Genomic DNA, 23,651 nt, shown 5'->3' with positions numbered 1-23,651 from the left:
GTGACGGTAGATTGAGCTACATGGGTGACATGGATCTACGTAATATTTCAAGAATTACTTAGGATAGGCCCAAAGACTGTGGCCATGAGAACTGAGAGCATGAACGATATGACAAATATTTTAAGGAAAGATTCATGATAACTTAAAGACTACCTGACTGTTTCAGAAAAGGAGATGTCAAGAAATCTGACACATTTTGTCTGAGCATAAATAAAGTTAGCAAATTGAGAATAGAAAAATGTGGAATGGCCCCATTTGTAGTAATTTTTGAAAATACACCAGATAATTAAATTATTTAATTAAGAATGGTTTTCACCAAGAGGGTGAAATGTTACAAAATCCCGAGGAACAGAATATTTTAATAAAGTCAACAGTGACAATTTTGGAATGGATATTTTCTCTTATATATTACAAAGAATAAAAAATGTGAATTTTATATTTGTTAACTGAAATAGTTTATGTAACTTGGAAATTAACTTCTTCTGTACATTAATAGCTAAATAGTCCAAATTGTTTGCCTATGTGGAATTATAACTGAAATGTTTCTATTAAATCAATGTTCATATGTGTTTACTTGTCTCATACTGCCATATCCCTGGCATTTGCATTGACAGGTATTCCATAAACACATGTTAAGTTCATGAAAGAAAAAATGAAGTTTTAAAGTTGCAAGTTAGTTTCTCTAATATGTCCCATGGACTTGGGTTCCTTAACTGTGAAGCAAAATATTATTCTGTTTTTTTGACCCTCATTTAGAAGATCAATATAATTTCCTCTCATCAATATGTTTAGAAAGATAAAAAATCTTTGAATTATGAATATGTAAAACAATCCCAATTACACTGATGTTTAAATCAGTACACTTGTGCCATCAGTAGTCTGGAAAAGGAGGAGGAATAGCAAGAGAAGGAGGAACAGAAGGAGAGGCAGCAGAGATGGGTGCAAGAAACATTCAGGAGACAAAGACAGAGGTAAAGAAACAGCAGCAGCAGCAGCCATAGCCAGTTGACATCATATCTGTGTTCAATGAAAAGGACATTCACATAAGAATGGACTCAAGATTGAGGGCAGGAAGTGAACTTATAGGAGAATGTGCCCACTTGCGATGTGTGAATATCCTGCCTGTTTCCTTTGACTGTGGCCACAGTCCAGACTCTTTTTGGATATCTGGTACTGGCTAGACTCCCAGGATTGGATCCCAGCCCAGGTCTATCTTGTTGGTCGGTGGAATACTCCTCTGAGAGATTTTATTTGGAAGTAGGAAAACTTCAGTGAGTATCACAGCAGTTAGATTTTCAAGTATGGTCAGCAGAGTATGCAGTTAGAAAACTGTACTTCTCAAAATTTTTCCTAGAGTGAGAAAGTGACTGCCAGAAGTTCCACTGTCTAGAATTTGCAGTTGGAGTTGAAATGAGGAATACACAGAACCATCACAGAAAACAGTAAGTTGCAGTTCTGCTCATATTATCTAAAAAAAAAAAAAAAAAAAAGGGAAAAGAGTAGGAATGTAGAGTAAGCCGTTAAGTAAGATTGGGAACAGATTGAGTCAGAGACAAAGTGTCGTGATAGAGCAGTTTGTTGAGTTGGGTGTATTAATTTTCTATTGCTGCCATTAAAATACCACTAATTTAAGTCTTAACAGAAATGATTATCTCACAGTTCTGTAGATCAGAAATCTGGAAGGATCGGTTGGATTCTCTGCTCAGACACTAATACAACCAGAATCAAGATGTCAGCAGAAGTGGGCTCTTGTCCAGTAGCTCGGGAGAATAATTCTTTTCAGACTTACTCAGATTGTTGGCTGAATCCAGATCCATGTAGTTATAGACCCTTGTTTACATGCTGGATCATTATGAGCTGCTAGAAGCTACCTGCATTCCCAGGCTCATGGCCTCCTTCATGTTCAAAGCAAGTAAGGGCAGGTGAACTCCCTCACATTTGACATCCCCTCTGCCATTTCTTCCTCTCCAATTTGGAAGACTTTTCTTTTCCATGTGTAATCGCTCTAGCTTGGACTTCCATTACTCTGCTGAACAGAAATGGTGAAAGTCGGCATACTTGCCTTTTTGCCATCTTAGAGCCAAAACTCACTTTTTCTCCATTGGATTGTGATGTTAGCTGTGACTCTTTCATATACAGTCTTTACTGTGTTGAGGTAAATTCCTTCTGTACCTATATTGTTGAGAGTTTCAGTCATGAAAGATTGTTGAACTTTGCCAAATATTCTTTCTGCATCTACTGAGATGATTATGTAGTCTCTGTCTTTCATTTTGGTAATGTGTTTTATCACATTGATTGATTTTGGTATGTTGAACCGTTTCTGCATCTCACGAATAAATCCCACTTGGTCATGGTGTGTGATCCTATTAATGTGCGATCAAACCCAGCTTGTCAGTATTTTACTGAAGATTTTTGCATTTATTTCCATCAGGGACAGTAGCCTGTAGTTTTATTTTCTTGTAGTGTCTCCATCTGGTTTTGGTATCAGAGAGATAATGGCCTCATATAACAAATTTGAAAGTGTTTCCTCTGTTATTTTTTGGAAGAGGTTAATAATGATGAGTATTAATTTTTATAATATTTGGGATAATTCACCCATGAAGCCATTGGTTCTGGGCTTTTCTTTCTCAGGAGATTTTTGATTATTGATTCAATCTCCTTATTTGTTATTGATCTATTCAGATTTTCTTTTTGGGTTGGTTTTGGTAGATTGTGTGTTTCTAGAGATTTATCATTTCTTCTAGCTCATCCAGTGTGTTGGCATGCCATTGTCTATAATAGTCCCACGTAATCTTTTTTATTTACTTATGTTTTATTGTTTGTTTATTTTATTTTACTTTTTTTAGAGATAAGGTCCTGCTCTTTCACACAGGCTGGAGTGTGGTGGTGCAATTATAACTCATTGCAGCCTCAGATTCCTGGGATCAAGTGATCCTCCCACCTCAGCCTCCCAAATAACTGGGATTACAGGTGCATGACACTACGCTTAGATAATTTATTCTTTTTTGTAGATGGAGGGTCTTGCTATGTTGCCCAGGCTTATCTCTAATTCCTAGGCTTAAAGGATCCTCTCACCTCAGCTTCCCAAAGCGCTGGGATTAGAGGCAAGAGCCATGACACGATGTCCTTTTTATTTTTGAGGCAGGTGTTATATCACCTCTTTCATTTCTGATTTTATTTACTTGAAGCTTATGTCTTGTCTTTACTCTTAGTTAAGCTAAGGGTTTGTCAATTTTGTTTATCTTTTAGAAAAAAGTTTTATCTCTAAGGGCTTATGTAATTATTTTAGGCACAGTTTGATTTATCCAATATGATCTTCTCATCTCAAAATTCATAACCTTAATCATATTTGTACAATCCCCTTTGCCATGTAACCTTACCTGTTCATAGGTTCCAGGGAATTGGGTATAAATATCTTTGGTGGTTCAGTGTTTAATAATTATTAGCTTATATATAGCTAATAGAACTAAGCAACCATTCATTCATTCTTTAGGAATAACGAATTAAAAGTATATCTAAATGCAGTCAAAATGACCCACAATAGAATTGTACACAAACTGAAAGAATCTTTCTATTATGAATACAAATGGAACCAATATTAGCTTCCCAGATTTTAAAAGCTGTAATGTTTCAAACATTTTATTGAGAGATATCTAAATGATAAGGTGTTTCTGAGAGACAAATAGATGACCAGGGCAAAATCTGATTCTCTCTACATGCCTTGGCTAAGAAGAGTATATGGTATAAGATGGTGTAAAGCTGGCTGTCATTCAAGTTATGTTCTGAATAACTTCCCTATGATATTAAAGTTTAATAAGAGCTAAGTTAGAATGAATGTATGCTACCTATTTATAGTGGCATTGAAGAATCTGGTTACACTGGAATCTTTTTGCTTTTTGTTCCTCTAACTTTGCTTTTATTTCAGCAAAAATGGAAATGGTGACATCTTTACTTAATATATTTAGTGACCTGAGAATCTCATGCTGCTTTCTCTTCAAGCTTCAGCTTAAAAGACACCACAGATTTTTTAAAGGGAAACACTGTCTGAATGGATTTCTTCTTAATGACAGATAATGTTACAAAGTAATGCATTTTGGCAAGTGCAGGGACTGTCTCTACTTAAGATTTTTTAGGTACATCTGTTTTTTCATATTACAATAGGAGTTAGGAAATAAAGACTACTTGGGTAGTGTGCACAATGCCCAACTACCTGTAAATCCATTTTGGCACACTGAGATACTGCTGTATTCTCCACTTGTCTATTTTAGGGAATTCATAAACACAGCTTGGCTTGTTTATCAGAGTTCAAAAACCTGGCAAAGTACGTCACTGCAGCTCTTTTTCATCTGCTGTGTTGACACAAAGATCAATGACCGCTTTTGAATGATCAAGATGTTGACAGCTTAATTTCTGTGTCATGAGTTGCTAAGGTAACACTATTTTTGTGAATTCTACACTTAATAAATCCTTAAGAAATGTCTTCCATTTTTAGTATTGAAAGTAATTTAATGTTGAAATTAAAAAGATTTATTTCTTGGTTCACGTTCCATTCACTGAAGCAGCTCACTTTACCTGTTGGCTGTTGTCTTCTTTCTTGGAATAACCGACTCAATCTGGACAGAAAAAGAAACTTAAAACACAGTGACTTACAACTGAAAAGGAAATAAAATATCTTGAAGAGAAAAATAAAGCAACACTTTTTCTTTCTAGGTGGATTATGCTTTAGAGATGAGCAGACAAAAGCACAGCTTTTAAGGCAACTTTTAGATTTACAGTTTTATTTTCAAAATCTGGTATAACACTCAATTTGTATTAATATTACATATAGCATTTTCAGAGAAAAGCAGGGTATTAGTGTTCTAGCACTGTGTAATAAATTACCACCAATTCGTTACTTCAAACAACACCATTTATTATCCTACAATTTGATAGGTCAGAAATTGAGGTATGGCTGAATTGGGTTTTCTACCCAGAATCTCACAAGGCTAAAATCATGGTATCAGCTGAACTGTGTTCCTTTCTGACATGAGGGTCCTCTTTCAAACTCATGTGGATTTTGGAAGAATTAACTATCTCATGATTATTTTGACCAAGACCCTCATTCTCCTTCTGGCTGTTGGATAGGAACTACTTTCTGCTTTGGCGACTGCCCACAGTCCCTAGCTGTGTGGCCTCCTGCGTAGGTTCTCTCCACTTTCTATGTCTCTGACTTCAAAAAGAGCCCAGTCTTCATAAAGACTCAGTTGATTATATGAATCTCACCTGGTAAGCTCCCTCTTAATGAAATCAAAGTCAACTGATTAGTAATAAGATTACAAAAGTAATATTATATATTCACAGGTTCTGTCAGAACTCAAGGGGAGGGGATTATAATCAAGGTTTATATAACAGGGACCAGGAATCATGGAGGCCATCGTAAAATCCTGTCTACTGCCTGTAGGTTATGTGTATTCAAATACAAAGCACTGGTATTCATACAACAAATAATTCCAGGCATGTTTTGGTGAATGATTGATACTATTTTAAACAATCAAATCCTATAATTTTTGCATTTGCAAAATTCTCTATTATGATGCCATTTGCTTTATAACCATAAAATAGAGAAAAGCATCTGACACATCTGTCTGCCCATTGACTAATAATATAGATTGATGATTCAACTGCAATATTTACATATTAATATTTTAAAATCAGTAATGATAACATCTTTATAAATGTACACAATAAATATAAAGATATAAAGATACATTCAATAAATATATAATATATTAAATATTTAATATATTTATAAGAATTATCTCATATAATTATGGAATTTTAAATTATGACAATTCACAAAATTTCTATTTCAATGTCCAGAAAAATAGTTCTGTTCATAGGAAGTGTATATCATGTAAAATATAGATAGAAAGCAAACACACAGTTTAAAAACATATTCTGGAAATAGACCATTTAAGAATTTTGTAAAAACTACATGCCCTGATGGAGAAAAAATGTAATCGGTTAGACATGCAAATCCAGGAAGATTTATGTCATGGCAGTAAACATCATATGAGAAATTAATCACCTGTTACAGGCAGTAGCAGTTTTATACTGAGAATTCAGAATGGGGTCATATGAATGGATATGAAATCTGGAAGTCAGTTATCCAGCAGACAGAAAGTACCCAAATGAATTATGAACACAGTTGTTAGAAATATTAATAGAAAAACACATGTACCAAACTAAAAAAAAAACCCTCTGCAAATCTCTTCTGTAAAAGAAAATGTCCTTTTGATAAAATATCATTCCAAGTACAATATCACATAAATAAAGCAATATTTTCTAATTAATTTTACATAAAACATAGAAGCATGTTTCTTAAAACTGCATAAATGTGAATAGGCAGTGAAGAATCCACAGAGGAATTAATGTAATTTGTAGTTTAATATGTTGATACAATCCAACATCCATATAATGAAGACAGAATTTATTTTCTACTATTCCAAAGATTTATCTCTTCTTGTTGTCTAACATTTTCATTGATATTATCATTGTACTTAGACATAGTCAACACAGCATTATTCCTCAATTATCAGAACAAATCATGAAAGTATTTTTACTCCAGACTTAAAAGGTATCTTGAATTCATTTCGATTTTCTGCATTCATCACCATTTTCTACTAATTATTCTCATTTTACTTTGGAAAACTTTAACCCGTGGGAAATTTTAATGTACATGTGATTAGGTTTCTCCCCTTAAATTCTGATTCAGAAAGCCTGGATTGTAGCCCAAGCATCTACCTTCCCTGAAAGTTGCATAAGTTATTCTAATGAGGCCTTAGATGAAAACGACTATGGTTTTTCTGGCTTTCACTGTTGATACAGACTTCTTGTTAATAATCTATTTCTTCATTACCATACATCATGCACAAAGTTCTCAGACTGTATAACCTTAAAAATTTATATATCACCACATCTTTCAGTGACAAAGTTACAGTTCTTAAGCATGATAGCCAAGATTCTTCAAAATGTATTGTTAGTGTCATCTGCATTAGTTAATGCATTAATTAAAAGCTTTCTTCCAACAGTATTGAACTTATCCTGTTCACTGCCATTGCATACATTTTTATACTCCTGCGACTTTTTTAATACTCCTTTTCCATTTGTTTTCCATTCCCCAAATATTATATGCCACTTTTTCAATCTATGAAAATTTCAACTCATCCTTTAAGATTTGTCTGAAGTGTTATCTCTTCAATAACATCTTACCATATTTAACCTAACAAAGTTAGCTGGTCTCTCCTCTCTGGTTCCACAAAAGGTTTCTTTTACTTAAATAAAGTACTTACATTTTTACAAGTCTGTCTTCTACACCAATCTTCCACTTCTTCGAAAATATAAGCCATGTCTTATTCATTAGGCCAAGTCCACACTATTTTATACATACCAGGGCTCACAGACTGAATACATATTTGTTTTATAAATAATAAATGAATGCATGCACACATGTGTGTATCAGTGAGAGGAGTTAATTTCCTTCCAGCAAACTTTCCAAAGACTATCAGAAATGATAATGGTGAAAGTGTGACAATTCAATTAAGAATAGAAAATAATATTTGTCACCCAATTACTTGTGGAGGTACATTTGTGGAGTTTGATGAATTAGTTTAAGTAAGAAATATTAAAACCTTCAGTGTACAGTAAAAGAGTGATCTGGCTGAGTGCTTTGACCCGACGCTATCAATTTAATTCTTCACTACATTCTGTCAGGTGCCTAGCTGAACTGGGAGACAGCGCTGAGCTGCCAGGTATCAGGGTAGTTGATTAAATCAACTGGTCAAAAATGGAGTTAATGTCTCAATCACTTACTGCAACAGTATAAGCAAGGGGCTAAACTCAGAAAAAGAGTTAACTCTCCCTGTTGCATTTACACCCATGGAACAGAGCAGGAGACTCCGGTGAATCAGCACAGACATGGGGGTTGTCTCACCATTGAGGGAGCTCTAAAACAAAAGGCTGTGGTAGTTTTATGGACTGGAAATTGAAGGGAGAGCAAGAGGTAAGGGCTAAGAATGGAAAAAGAGTACCCAGTACTGAGTCAAAGTGAGGAAAGTGTCTTCAAATTCTACCCCTCTTCTCTCCAATAAGAAAGCCTCCCCTGAGGCACCTAAAGAAGACCTCTACACCAAGTCCTCAAATAAGAAAATTCGGAATGAAGGCACTGGAAATGCAGATACATCCATGAAAGAATGTAACACACACATGCATACTTCCTGTTGGTTCTGTTTCTCTGGAGAACACAGACTAATACAACATCTAATCTTTAAAAATTTTAACTAAAAATAACTGACTGATCTCTTCTTTCATTCAGTCAGATCATTGGCTCTTCTCAAGACATTTAAGCATATAACTTTTCTTCAACTATACATGGATTTAGCTTCCTAATCTTCTAATTTATTTTTATTTAGTAATTTCCAAGAAAGATAAATGTTTCCTCCAAGGAATTATTATCTCTCATAATGTTCCCTACAAGTCCAAAGAGTTTTATATGTCTGAGTTATATAATAAGTAGCTTATAATTCAATCTGATAGCGGTTTATAGGTTAGTTTACCTCAATTTATTTTCTTGATCAAACTTTATATTCCATAAGCTGCCACATTCAGTTGCGTAGGGCCTAAAACATGGTTGTAATGTATATGTTCTACATGGTGGCCCTGGTTAAAGAATGGAAAATGATAAACTAAAAAAGTATGATGATTGTATATGTACATTTATTTATATTTAAGACCATATATATATGGTCTTAAAGCATACCCAGTTCCTAAATGAGAAGGTATCTTCTAGAATTGTAGACAACTTGACAACTCTAGTTTTCTAAGAAGAACAGAGGCTCACAATTGGCTTCTTTTATAGTTGCTCAGATTTTCATGAAAATAAAGCAACCCATGAATTTAAATAATTTGCATCCCTTACCTTTACAAGAAGACTTTTCATGAAGTATTTTCCATACATGTGCAACAATTAATGAGACCACTGGTTCTTTAGGAGTTACATACTTCAGTCATAATTCAAACTCAATAATTATTTATCCAAATATTGGTTGTTGCTGAATCTTATCTTTGGGAAAGGGTTCAAGGTCCTTGAATATTTTTACTTCATCCAAGATGGCAAATAAAATAATGGTCCTTATATTTACTACTAAAACCTTTAAAACAATTCTTACTAGATTTTTCTTCCATCATAGTGTTTAGAATATTTTCCAGACTATAGACTGCCAGATACTTGTTAAACATGTAAAAATTCCAATAAAACAAAAAATTACAGATTGATATTTTATTTTTAATTATTTTAAATTAAACTCATTTTAAAGAATAATATATACTTATATTTATTTAATACATGTTAAATGTAATCTCAAAACTAACTCATCTTTTATTGTACTATATGTTAATACATTTTGCTAGATATTTTCTTGATTTGCTTTCAAATGCTTTGGTTTCAAAAAGAGATACTTAAAGTTTATTGTATATAAACTTAAATGCCTAACATTATTGTATTCATAAACTTTATTAGATAAAGTTGATTGTATAAAATTTATTAAGTAAACTTTATAAATGCATAAGACTAATCATGGCCTAAAAAAAACAGTAATTGTTTTACAGTAGAAAACAAAACAAAAGACACTTTTGACTATTATCATAATGGAATTCATGCAAAATACATTTTCCTACATATTTATCTTTTGACAGGAGAAATAGACATCTTTTAGAATTAGGTAGGTTCCATTTCCCTGGGGATCCAATTGCAACCAAAACGAGGTGGTCTGTATTTAAATAGAAAGCAATAGAGTTGGTACATAGACTAATAAAATATGCCTATTTTGTACAGTTTTGAACACACAAAATATGTTGCCTGGTAACATGTATATCATTTGTTATCAGACGGCTTTGTCTTAATTATACCAATCCTGGGCTTTTTTGGATTCACATATAGTTTTCTCTAAGATAAATGCCAGATAAATATGGGTATATTTGAAGTAGTTTTCATTTACATCAATGTATTTTCATCTACAGATTGTCAACAGGAAAGATAAATAAACTTGCCAAGGAGTAAAGTTGATGTAATTTATTAGAGACAAAGTTATATTTGAGCATTTGTCTGCGAAATCCATTTAACTTTCTTTTTTTCTTGATATGGTGGTTTGAAAAGCACTAAAAAAAATTTTTTTTTGACTGAAAACTGCCTAGATCATGGGTAACTAGACTGAATGAGGTCTCACAGATCAATGACTGCTAAGTCTGGCTGGCTGACTTACATTTCATGAAATCATAAGAGAATACTGAAGTCTCTTCAGACTTGTGTAAGTGGAAACCGTGCCTGCACATTGTTAGTTATGGCAAATGTTTCCAAAACCTCTTCTCTAACAAACAGAAAAATAACACAGATTGAAGAGCGGAAAAGGATATTTTATAACAGTCAGAAAACTTCAAAAGAGTTGAGGAGGAAAAAGAGAGAGGCACCAAGTAAGATTTCACAAAAATCAATCACACATAATAAATGGAAACGGTTTTTGAATTTTGCATATTGTTAATTCCTTCAGAATTTCTCTTTCTCATCAGAACCTCTTAGCCATAATTGTTTTTAGAACTGTTGGTCTGAATTTTCTAGTCCTATAATTATTTTCTAAAAAAAAAATACCTTTTTAAATTACAAAATAGAGTACAATCAACTAGCACACTTAATGAATTGAGCATTCCTTATTATTTAATCTCATAATCCCTCATTATTATTCTTCATTATACTCTGAACATACTTCTAACTCTTTATGTCTATGTTTGATTATTTTACAAGTTGCTCAAAAGAAAAAAATATGTCTTAATCATCATATTTATATCTCTTGTAAATAGCAGTTTAACTGCTTTTTAAATGATTTATCAATCTATTTTTATTGATTAAATATTTCTTAGGTAAAATCCAAAATGTTACCAAAGTTTTTACCCTGTTTTATTTGTTTGGCCTCACTTTTATCTAAATAAACATGAAGGAATCATTTAAACTGTATAAGCAAATAACTGTATTATTGTTTTTGTTTTTATTTCTCCCTCTATTTGGATATAGAATGGAAAACATCGAGAAAAATAAACATAGAAGAAAAGCAAAATACAAAGTTTGTATAATGTGGAGATGGAAGTTGTTTGTTTTACAGAATTCCCTGAAAAATAAGGGGAAATCCATTCTCTTTTTCTATCACGTAACTTGACCACTGTGGGTCTAGTAAAGATAGCTTCCAAATTCATGTTTCTGTAGAGTTACTCATAGCTTGCTTTCATGCAAATGTGGATGGTGCAGGCACACATTTTACTGAAGTGTTTAGCAGGCCTGTAGCTATGTGACTCAATTTTCACATTCGTTATGTAACTTTGAAGGAACTCGTGTGTTAGTATTTTACAAGTGTATTTTAAATGCCTTCAACATTTCAATTTTTGGAAGGTAATGAAAATAACTGCTTCAACTTTTTCCTTTTAAAAATAATAGAAGGGATAAATACAACAATGTAATTTTTCCGCGATCAAAAAACTAACCCCAAATATGCCATATGATTAATATCTCAGTGCAGGCATTCCAAAACAACTAATCAAAAATAATGTTAATAGCAATAATAACAAAGCCACTGATAAATATGTGATGGTATGTATAACATTTTAAATTTTAACATATAACTAGATTATAGAAATATAAAATTTTGAGGAACATGTTGTCAGTTAGGGTCCTGGCAGAAAAGAGTATATTCAAATTGGGAAATTTCAGGAGAGTTTGATAAACCAATTATTTACAGAGATTTGGAAAATATGGAAAAATCTCAAGACAGTGTAGGATTTCCTTGTATCTATTGCTAGTGGGCAGGCACGGTTACTGTACCTTTAATTTCCAGTCTCATCACATAGAAAAAACAAAAGTAAGAGATCCACAGACATTTCTGTACAAAGACAGCACTATGTATAATGGTTAATGCAGTGAATTAAACTAAACATTCAGCAATAAAACATACAAAAGTCACTTATATTTGCACAATAGAATGATACGAATTTTCAAATATTTTCCACAAAAAGACATGGTAAAAATAACTTAATTTTTTTAAAAAAGGAACATATTTTTAAAATTTTATTTAGGTATATTTATTGTATAAAAATTGTATTAATTTGCAGTATAAAATTTTCTGACTCTTAATATACATTTGTATACCATAAAGACACCATAATGAATAGAATATTTTCTCTTCCCTTGTTTTAATTTGTCTCTCAAATCACTTTGGCTTAGAAGAAACAGTGCCATTAACAGATTATTTTTCATTTTAGAGATTTTTAAAAGATTGAGTCATATCTACTTTTTTCTTTGAAACATCATCTATCTCACAATAGAAAAATAAGTAACAGAAGGAAGCTAAAACAGCAGTATTAGTAACTAAACTAAGTATTATTTAAGATGAAAATATTAATAAGAGCAGTATATTTAAGATTTAAAAAAATTATTAAAATTATTACAGGTTACTTCTATAAGCAATGGAATATCAAAAGGTAAAGAAATATTAGATTTGAAATAAATACATAACTGTAATCATAATATAGAATTTAATGCAACTCCTTCATATATTATATTTGTCCTGCTTTAGTCTGAAAATTGAGCATCTAAAAGAATTAAACAATGAAATAATAAATATTGAACACTATGATTCTATTTCTCTTTCTTTGAATACATAGAAAGTATTGTACCCAAAATATAGATGATTAACAACCTTACAAATTCCAAAGCAATATTTACAAAATAATGACAAGCCACAAGTAAAAAATTCTCAATACTGTACAAATAGACATTAATTTATATGAAAAATCCAATAAAATATTAAAATTATTTAATATTGAAAGCTATATTCAGAATCTAAAAAACACATTCTAATCACTAACATGATAAAAAATAAATGTTTACAGCTCAGGAAAAATGACAGTGTGTTTTTGCATCTCAATTTCATTAAGTTCTTCTGCAATTTTAGTTATTATAGTCTTCTGCTATCCTTGGATTTGGTTTGCTCTTTTTTTCCCCCATTTCTGTTAGGTGCAAAGTTAGGTTGTTAATTTATGATTGTTCTAACTTCTTAATGAAGGTGTTTAGGGCTATAAACTTTCCTCTCAACACTGCATCTCAAGGATTTTGATAAGTTGTGTCCCTATTTTAATTAATTTCAAGGTATTTTTTATTTCTGTCTCAGTTTCAGTGTTCATCTAATAGTTATTTAGTAGAAAGTTGTTTAATGTTCATGTATTTGTGTAGCATATATCTTAAATAAATGATCAAAGGAAAAAGGGAAGTTATGATTCCTATTTGTATACCACAGCAGGAAAACATCAAAGCACTTTAAATGCACCCAATAATGGGATTTTAAGTTAATGATTGTGTATTCATAGTATTAGATAGTATACAGCACTTAGAAAACAATTTTATAAAATGACCACCTTATATTGTTAAATGCAAAATAAGCCAAAAGTACTCATAGTTAATAGTTACTTGCTCATTTACAAAGTGTATGTTGAATGAGCTATATCCATTTTTCTATGAAGGGGGTTTTTCTCCAGATTTGTTCTAAAATTGTTAGAAAATAATATAAAATCTTGTTAATGTTACTATAAAAAACAGTCACTTAAACAAATAAAAGTATAATCCTCCATGAAATAAACATTTTTGTGTAACATAGAAAATAAATATTACAATAAATTTAATAAAATATAGTACTGACAATGTAAGTAGGATTTTCCATTCAGAGAAGATAAAAACGCTAAAAATATTTCTGAGGGAAAATATTTCTTCTATTTTAGCATAATTGGATTATGCAGAAACAGTTACTAAAATATTGATAAATACGTACATATTATTCATTGCATATGGGTGATTCATATGTATATTATTATAGGTATATTGTATATTATATATGACATATAACATATATTTATATATCATATATATCATAGGCTTATATTATTATAGATATATAATAACATACATATTGTATTCATATGTACATGTTATTCATTTCAGTAAAATGTGTGTGCAGAGAGGTCATTTGAGTTTCTAAGATTTTCCAAATAAGTTCTAGTTCTACAAGTAATTAATTTAAATAATAAAATAATGATAGGCTTTAAACAATTGAAAACATAAACAAAATTAACTTGCTTCACACTGCCTTATATCAATTTTCTTTTCTCGGACCTAACTCCATTTAATATTATTTTAAAGTCGGTAGCTTTTCCACTTAACACTTGCTAATTGTACCCTTATCAGAATCATAGGGCTTGTTTCTTTATTCTCAGAGTTTTTTACTTCCACTTCATGCAAAAAAAATGAGGATTTTTGTCTTGATTTGTTTTATTATTTATTCCTGTTTGACCACATCTTTTACTTGATGTATTAAGATTAGGCTCTGCCAATTAGATTCAGCTAAGTGATTGAGTTTCATTTTTCCTATCTTGTTATAAATTCTTAGATGAAGACATTTGAGCAGAGAATAAGACTTCATATGTTTTTATTTAAAAATAAGACATAAATACTGTGATCGATTTAATTTTCAAAACTAAGAACAAATATTTAATGTGCATTACCACATCTATTAATATTTATTTTAATGATCTTAGAATATATAATCTGTATTTTAATATAACTCCTATTGGAGATTTCTTCATAAATGATATTATAATCATAAAAATGTATGATTAACTTTGGAGTCATCGAACTACTACTATATTCACCATCCTCATAAAAAATGTAAAAATTGATTTTAATTATTAGTATTATTATGTTTTCCTAATTAAATATTATTTGTTCTTTAAAGCATTTAGATTCTGACAAACTATAACAATTTTGCAATATTTTAAATAATGTAAAATGAATATTTTAAAGCAAAGACACTTTTAGTAATCAAAATATTATGCCATAAATTCTAAATCCTAACCAAACAAGAGGTATGTTAAGAATATTTTGAATATCTTCAAGCAATAGCACTGTCTCTATTCTCTTTTGCAGTTCTTTTCTTTACAAGATACATGGAATTTCTGTTTATTACTGAGTATAAATTTACACAAATGATGCATTAACTTATTCTCAATTAGTCAAATTATAAAGCAGTGTGGTATTCCTATCCTTGCACCAAAAACTTCTACAGAAGGAGCCCATGCATTATTTAAGACAGTTCTTGTTTCCCTGTCTGTGGCATTTGCTAGATCACACAGAGTAACAGCAAGCTGTGGAAAACAGAACTACAGTTTAACAATGGGTTTGAACTGTGTAGGTCTGCTAGTATTTGGATTTTCTTCTGCCTCTGCCACTTCTGAGACAGCAAGAGGAACTATTGCCCTTCCTCCTCCTTATCATCAACCTATTCAACATGAAGATGATAAGCATAAAAACCTTTTTGATGATCCACTTCCACTTAAAAATACTAAATATATTTTCGCTTCCTTATGATTATCTTAATAACATATTTTTCTCTAGCTTACTCTAAGAATATAGTATATAATATATATATATATATAACCTACAAAATATGTGTTAATTGACTATGTTATGAGTAAGGCTTCTAGTCAACAGTAGAATATTACACGATTTGGGAGAGTCAAAAATTATATGAAGATTTTTGACTGTGCCAGGAATTTGGTTACTTCTAACCCTTGCATTGTTCAGAAGTCAACTGTAGTTACAAAATTAAAAGCAGTAATAAAACACTTGGCACACACAGCCTGGGTGGAGAAGGGAGGTAATAAATGCTTGAACATAATTTTTTTATCATTAGAAAAATCCAAGAAGTTAATATTAAAATGAAAATGTGATTGTATAACTACAGAATCTAGAAGTGATAGAAATAAAAAAAAGTTTATTGAAATAATTATTTATATCATGCATTTAATGTTAATTCCACAAGCTTTAGTAGCCTAAGGCATATTCCTGCATAATGTGTGACAGACAAATGAATACTTTCAAATAATGAAAACATCACAACTTAGCAAAACTATGCTAAGTTCAGTCTTTTGAAGGTATAAGAGAGGTGCTTAATCAAGGTTATACAATGGGGGCAGCTTAAAAGAGGCCTTGACAGACTAGTTCTTATGCAAAGCATCTTTAACTAAAGACATCGTAAGATGCATAATGCTACCCAACATAAAGCTGCTGATATTACATTGTGACAAGTGTCTTTTTTTTAAAAAAAATGGCAATTTTCTGAAAGAATAAAACCTAAATTAGAAACATTACATGACACCTTTTGGAAAGCCAATGAAAGGAAAAGTATCATAAAAGCAGTTTCTCTCTTACAAGGAAAGAAAGAGAAGAACTTCAGGACAATGTAAATTATCACCTTTACACTACAAGCTCAAAGGCAGATGCTATTTCTATACAGATGAATACTAGCCTGATTTCCTCACTCCCTTCTTTTTCTTTGAGTTGCTATTCTATAATATCAATGGGATTAGAAAATTGGGCAGCTTTACTTAGTCTTCCGCATTTCTAACTTTACAATGACTTCATGATAGTTAATTGTCCAATTCTTTTGTCCTTGGCCAGGACTACAAAGCTTCTTTTAGATGTAAGTAGTTAATAAATATTTGCTGAATGGGATATTAATATCTAACTAGGAATGCTTTAAAAAGAGCGTTCTTTGTGTCACCTGTGTTTGTCCTTGATTCTACTTACTCTCTTCTTCTCATTGCATTTTCATTCATAATATTTTATATTATTATGGTATATTATCATTTGAGGGGCATGCTTCAAGTACTCAAGTAACTTTTACCTTTTTTGCTGTTCTCTCTCTCTATATATATAATTACAAATATGTAAATATGTATGCAAATGTATGCATGTGTATTTAGCACGCATCTATTGAATACTAATCACATAATGTAATCAGTTTAAGGGACTGGGCAGTAGACTAAATGATAATGCCCAGTAATAACTACCAGTTTAATAGTCCTTTACACCTTATCTGTAAGTCTTTTGCATATACGATCTTATTTGCTGATAAATACATATCACTTTCTTAATGAGACATACTACAACTTGTGTAAATTTCTATTTCTCACAAAAATATCTTTAAGAAAGTGGAACATATCATGAAAAATGAAGATTCACAAATAGTAGGTGTGATATTAAAATTAATATATTTGAAAGTTTATCCACACCATAAACAAAAACAAAAAAACAAGTGAAAATTTTCACAGTGGAACTCAACTATATGAAGTTCTTTAATAAAATATATTTTTAAGAAACTTGTATAATGTTTTCACTTTTGGTTATTGTATTGGGTATTGTATAGTCAATATTCTCCAGAAAAACATGGCTAATGAGATTTAGAGAGAGAAAGAGAAGAAGAAACAGGAAAAGAAAGTGAAAGAGAAAGAGACGTGTTATAAGAAATAGGCTAGGCTCTGGTATCAGGATGATGCTGACCTCATAACATGAGTTAGAGAGGATTCCCTCTTTTTCTATTGATTGGAATAGTATCAGAAGGAATGGTACCAGCTCCTCCTTGTACCTCTGGTAGAATTCGGCTGTGAATCCATCTGGTCCTGGACTTTTTTTCGTTGTTAGGCTATTAATTATTGCCTCAATTTCAGAGCCTGTTATTGGTCTATTCAGAGATTCAACTTCTTCCTGGTTTAGTCTTGGGAGGGTGTATGTGTTCAGGAATATATCCATTTCTTCTCGATTTTTCTAGTTTATTTGAGCAGAGGTGTTTATAGTGTTCTCTGATGGTAGTTTGTATTTCTGTGGGATTGGTGGAGATATCCCCTTTATCATTTTTTATTGCATCTATTTGATTCTTCTCTCTTTTCTTCTTTATTAGTCTTGCTAGCAGTCTATCAATTTTGTTGATCTTTTCAATAAACCAGCTCCTGGATTCGTTGATTTTTTGAAGGGTTTTTTGTGTCTCTATCTCCTTCAGTTCTGCTCTGATCCTAGTTATTTCTTACCTTCTGCTAGCCTTCGAATGTGTTTGCTCTTGCTTCTCTAGTTATTTTAATTGTGATGTTAGGGTGTCAATTTTAGATCTTTCCTGCCTTCTCTTGTGGGCATTCAGTGTTATAAATTTCCCTCTACACCTGCCTTAAATGTGTCCCAGAGATTCTGGTACGTTGTGTCTTTGTTCTCATTGGTTTCAAAGAACATCTTTATTTCTGCCTTCATTTCGTTATGTACCCAGTAGTCATTCAGGAGCAGGTTGTTCAGTTTCCATGTATTTGAGCGGTTTTGAGTGAGTTTCTTAATCCTCAGTTCTAGTTTGATTGCAATGTGATCTGAGAGACAGTTTGTTATAATTTCTGTTCTTTTACACTTGCTGAGGAGTGCTTTACTTCCAACTATGTGGTCAATTTTGGAATAAGTGCGATGTAGTGCTGAGAAGAATGTATATTCTGTTGATTTGGGGTGGAGAGTTCTGTAGATGTCTATTAGGTCCACTTGGTGCAGAGCTGAGTTCAATTCCTGGATATCCTTTTAACTTTCTGTCTCCTTGATCTGTCTAATGTTGACAGTGGGGTGTTAAAGTCTCCCATTATTATTTTGTGGAAGTCTAGGTCTCTTTGTAGGTCTCTAAGGACTTGCTTTATGAATCTGGGTGCTCCTGTATTGGGTGCATATATATTTAGGATAGTTAGCTCTTCTTGTTGAATTGATCCCTTAATCATTATGTAATGGCCTTCTTTGTCTCTTTTGATCTTTGTTGGTTTAAAGTCTGTTTTATCACAGACTAGGATTGAAACCCCTGCCTTTTTTTGTTTTCCATTTGCTTGGTAGATCTTCCTCCATCCCTTTATTTTGAGCCTCTGTGTGTCTCTGCATGTGAGATGGGTCTCCTGAATACAGCACACTGATGGGTCTTGACTCTTTATCCAATTTGCCAGTCTGTGTCTTTTAACTGGAGCATTTAACTTATTTACATTTAAGGTTAATATTGTTATGTGTGAATTTGACCCTGTCATAATGATGTTAGCTGGCTATTTTGCTCGTTGGTTGATGCAGTTTCTTCCTAGCATTGATGGTCTTTACAATTTGGCATATTTTTTCAGTGGCTGGTACCGGTTGCTCCTTTCCATGTTTAGTGCTTCCTTCAGGAGCTCTTGTAAGGCAGGCCTGGTGGTGACAAAATCTCTCAGCATTTGTGAGGACAGCATCATCCTGACACCAAAGCGTGGCAGAGACACAACAAAAAAAGAGAATTTTAGACCAATACCCCTGATGAACTTTGATGCAAAAATCCTCAATAAAATACTGGCAAACTGAATCCAGCAGCACATCAAAAAGCTTATCCACCATGATCAACTGGGCTTCATCCCTGGGATGCAAGGCTGGTTCAACATACGCAAATCAAAAAACGTACTCCATCATATAAACAGAACCAAAGACAAAAACCACATGATTATCTCAATAGATGCAGAAAAGGCCTTTGACAAAATTCAACAGTCCTTCATGCTAAAAACTCTCAATAAATTAGGTATTGATGGGACGTATCTCAAAATAATAAGAGCTATTTGTGACAAACCCACAGCTAATATCATACTGAATGGGCAAAAACTGGAAGCATTCCCTTTGAAAACTGGCACAAGACAGGGATGCCCTCTCTCACCACTCCTATTCAACATAGTGTTGGAAGTTCTGGCCAGGGCAATCAGGCAGGAGAAAGAAATAAAGGGTATTCAATTAGCAAAAGAGGAAGTCAAATTGTCCCTGTTTGCAGATGACATGATTGTATATTTAGAAAACCCCATTGTCTCAGCCCAAAATCTCCTTAAGCTGATAAGCAACCTCACCAAAGTCTCAGGATACAAAATCAATGTGCAAAAATCACAAGCATTCTTATACACCAATAACAGACAAACAGAGCCAAATCATGAGTGAACTCCCACTCACAATTGCTTCAAAGAGAATAAAATACCTAGGAATCCAACTTACAAGGGATGTGAAGGACCTCTTCAAGGAGAACTACAAATCACTGCTCAATGAAATAAAAGAGGACACAAACAAATGGAAGAACATTCCATGCTCATGAATAGAAAGAATCAATATAGTGAAAATGGCCGTACTGCCCAAGGTAATTTATAGATTCAATGCCATCCCCATCAAGCTACCAATGACTTTCTTCACAGAATTGGAAAAAACTACTTTAAAGTTCATATGGAACCAAGAAAGAGCCCACAGTGCCAAGACAATCCTAAGCCAAAAGAACAAAGCTGGAGGCATCACGCTACCTGACTTCAAACTGTACTACAAGGCTACCGTAACCAAAACAGCATGGTACTGGCACCAAAGCAGAGATATAGACCAATGGAACAGAACAGAGCCCCCAGAGATAATACCACACATCTACAACTATCTGATCTTTGACAAACCTGACAAAAAACAAGAAATGGGAAAAGGATTCCCTATTTAATAAATGGTGCTGGCAAAACTGGCTAGCCATAGGTAGAAAGCTGAAACTGGATCCCTTCCTTACGCCTTATACAAAAATTAATTCAAGATGGATCAAAGACTTAAATATTAGACCTAATACCATAAAAACCCTAGAAGAAAACTGAGACAATACCATTCAGGACATAGACAAGGGCAAAGACTTCATGTCTAAAACACCAAAAGCAATGCCAACAAAAGCCAAAATTGACAAATGGGATCTAATTAAACTAAAGAGATTCTGCATAGCAAAAGAAACTACCATCAGAGTGAACAGGCAACCTACAGAATGGGAGAAAATTTTTGCAATCTACTCATCTGACAAAGGGCTAATATCCAGTATCTACAAAGAACTCAAAAAAATTTGCAAGAAAAAAACAAACAAACACATCAAAAAGTGGGTGAAGGATATGAACACACACTTCTCAAAAGAAGACATTTATGCAGCCAACAGACACATGAAAAAATGCTCATCATCACTGGCCATCAGAGAAATGCAAATCAAAACCACAATGAGATACCATCTCACACCAGTTAGAATGGTGGTCATTAAAAAGTCAGGAAACAACAGGTGCTGGAGAGGATGTGGAGAAATAGGAACACTTTTACACTGTTAGTGGGACTGTAAACTAGTTCAATCATTGTGGAAGACAGTGTGGCGATTCCTCAAGGATCTAGAGCTAGAAATATCATTTGACCCAGCCATCCCACTACTGGGTATATACCCAAAGGATTATAAATCATGCTGCTATAAAGACACATGCACACATATGTTTATTGCGGCACTATTCACAAGAGCAAAGACTTGGAACCAACCCAAATGTCCAACAATGATAGACTGGATTAAGAAAATGTGGCACATATACACCATGGAATACTATGCAGCCATAAAAAATGATGAGTTCATGTCCTTTGTAGGGACATGGATGAAGCTGGAAACCATCATTCTCAGCAAACTATCACAAGGACAAAAAAACAAACACCGCAAGTTCTCACTCACAGGTGGGAATTGAACAATGAGAACACTTGGACACAGAAAGGGGAACATCACACACTGGGGCCTGTCATGCGATGTGGGGAGCGAGGAGGGATAGCATTAGGAAATGTAATGTAAATGAGGAGTTAATGGGTGCAGCACACCAACATGGCACATGTATACATATGTAACAAACCTGTACGTTGTGCCCATGTACCCTAGAACTTAAAGTATAATAAAAAAAAAAAAACAGAAAAAAAAAAAAGAAATAGGCTAATGCAATTACAAAGGCTGACAAGTCTCAAGATGTACAGGGAAATTAGCAAGCAAGAGATCCCAGAAAGCTGGTGGTGCAGTTCGTGTCTGAAGGCTGGAAGGCCGAGACCCAGGAAAAGCTGATATTTTAGTTTGAATTTTAAGGCCAGAAAAAATACATAATATTTCAATTCCAAGGTAGTCAGGTAAAATAACTATCTTACAGTAAAAAGGTCATAATTTTGTTCTGTTTAGGTCTTCAACTAATTGAATGAGGACCACCCACATTAGGGAAGGCAATCTCCTTTACTAAGTGTTATGGTTTGGCTTTGTGTCCCCCCCAAATCTCATGTCAAATTGTAATTCCCACATGTCAGGGGAAAGACCTGATGGGAGGTGATTGGATCTTTGGAGTGGATTTCCCCCATGTTGTTTTTGTGATAGTGAGTGAGTTATCATGAGATCTGGTGATTTAAAAGTGTGACACTTCTCCCTTACTCTCTCTCTCCGGCCACAATGTAACACATGAGTTGCTTCCCCTTGGCCTTCTGCCATGTAACACATGAGGCCTCCCCAGCCATGTGGAACTATGAGTCAATTAATCCTCTTTTCTTTATAAATTACAGTCTCAGGTAGTGTCTTTATAACAGTGTGAAAACAGACTAATACACTAAGTCTACTGATCTAAATTTTAATATCTTCTAAAACATCCTCACAAAAACACCCAGCATGATGTTTGATTAAATATCTGGGTATTCTGTGGTCCTGTCCAGTCAACACATGAAATTAATCATCACAGTAATAAATTAGTAATTGATAATTATTTTACCTACTATGTTGAGGATAAACACACTAGAAGTCGATCTCATGAGAGAGCATCTCAAAATGATATGACTGTCTAAATTTAATGATATTGAACTTCTGAATTGCAGGCATGTTTGATAAAGAAGCAAGTTTACCTCTTTTTGTTGGTGTTGTTAAATTTGGTAAACTATAGTAAAACATTCTCACATTATTTTTAACTTGGGTTGTATTGTTTTAAACAATTATGTATGTACCCAACATGCTTTATGTGGTTTTCTTATGTAGAATAGATCATAATATGTATTACCATGGTAGACGGTATCTGCTAAATAAATAATGTTATTGAAAAGTGGTCCTGATCCAGACACCAAGAGATGGTTCTTGGACCTTACACAAGAAAGAATTTTGGGTGAATCCACAGAATACAGTGAAAGCAAGTTTATTAAGAAAGTAAAGGAATAAAATACTGACTACTCCATAGAGCAGGGCATTCTTGACATCAAGAGGAGAGACATGTCCACCTTAGGTAAGATGCTTGTTTATGTATAAGACAACAAAGTCAAAAAATCATGGGGAAGATTTTTACTACTACAAGTGCTCCTGACAAGGAATCAACTTTTGTGTAACTATTGTCTTCCACATCAATTTATATTATCATTTTTAAAGTGAAACTTTTTCTTAAACTAAGAATGCCTTTGTTCTTAAGATATGAGGACATCAGGACATTTCTGGGCCTGTTAAGGGTCTGTTAGGTAAACATTATTAACCTGTTCCCTTAACCATAAATATCCTGTCACTAAGAATGCCTGAACTCCTGGGAATGCAACCAGCAGGACTCAGCCTCATTTCACTCAGTCCTTATTCAAGATGGAGTCACTCTGATTTAAACAGCTTTGACAATATTACTTAAAATAAGCAGTTTTACTTTTCACTAGGAAAAGTTATAAACACCCAGGGTACATTCTGATTGACCTGATATGAGTTTATTTCTGAAAATCCTCCATCCCTCCACACACAAAAAAACCTTAAACAGCATATAAAATAAAATAAATATCTCATGCTAAAACAAACAGGCACACCCACACAGTAATTATAGATAAAACTGATCATCCATAAAAAAAAGCCATATAAATTTTGGAAGACTAGAGAAAA

At 33.0% G+C, this 23,651-nt stretch overlaps 1 long non-coding RNA gene across 1 annotated transcript in view; it reads left to right on the top strand.

Moving 5' to 3' along the window:
- The first annotated feature begins 1,124 nt into the window (after positions 1-1,124).
- LOC107986221 (uncharacterized) overlaps positions 1,125-23,651 on the top strand; it is a 67,141-nt gene continuing 44,614 nt past the window's right edge. Inside the window, exon 1 of the long non-coding RNA XR_001741501.2 lies at positions 1,125-1,442. This is a non-coding gene — a long non-coding RNA (uncharacterized LOC107986221). The remainder of the gene's footprint in view (positions 1,443-23,651) is intronic.

This window comes from Homo sapiens, chromosome 4, assembly GCF_000001405.40.
Source record: "Homo sapiens chromosome 4, GRCh38.p14 Primary Assembly".
NCBI lineage: Eukaryota > Metazoa > Chordata > Mammalia > Primates > Hominidae > Homo > Homo sapiens.
Note: the sequence above shows the minus strand (reverse complement) of the source record. Positions and strands in the feature narration are given on the sequence as shown.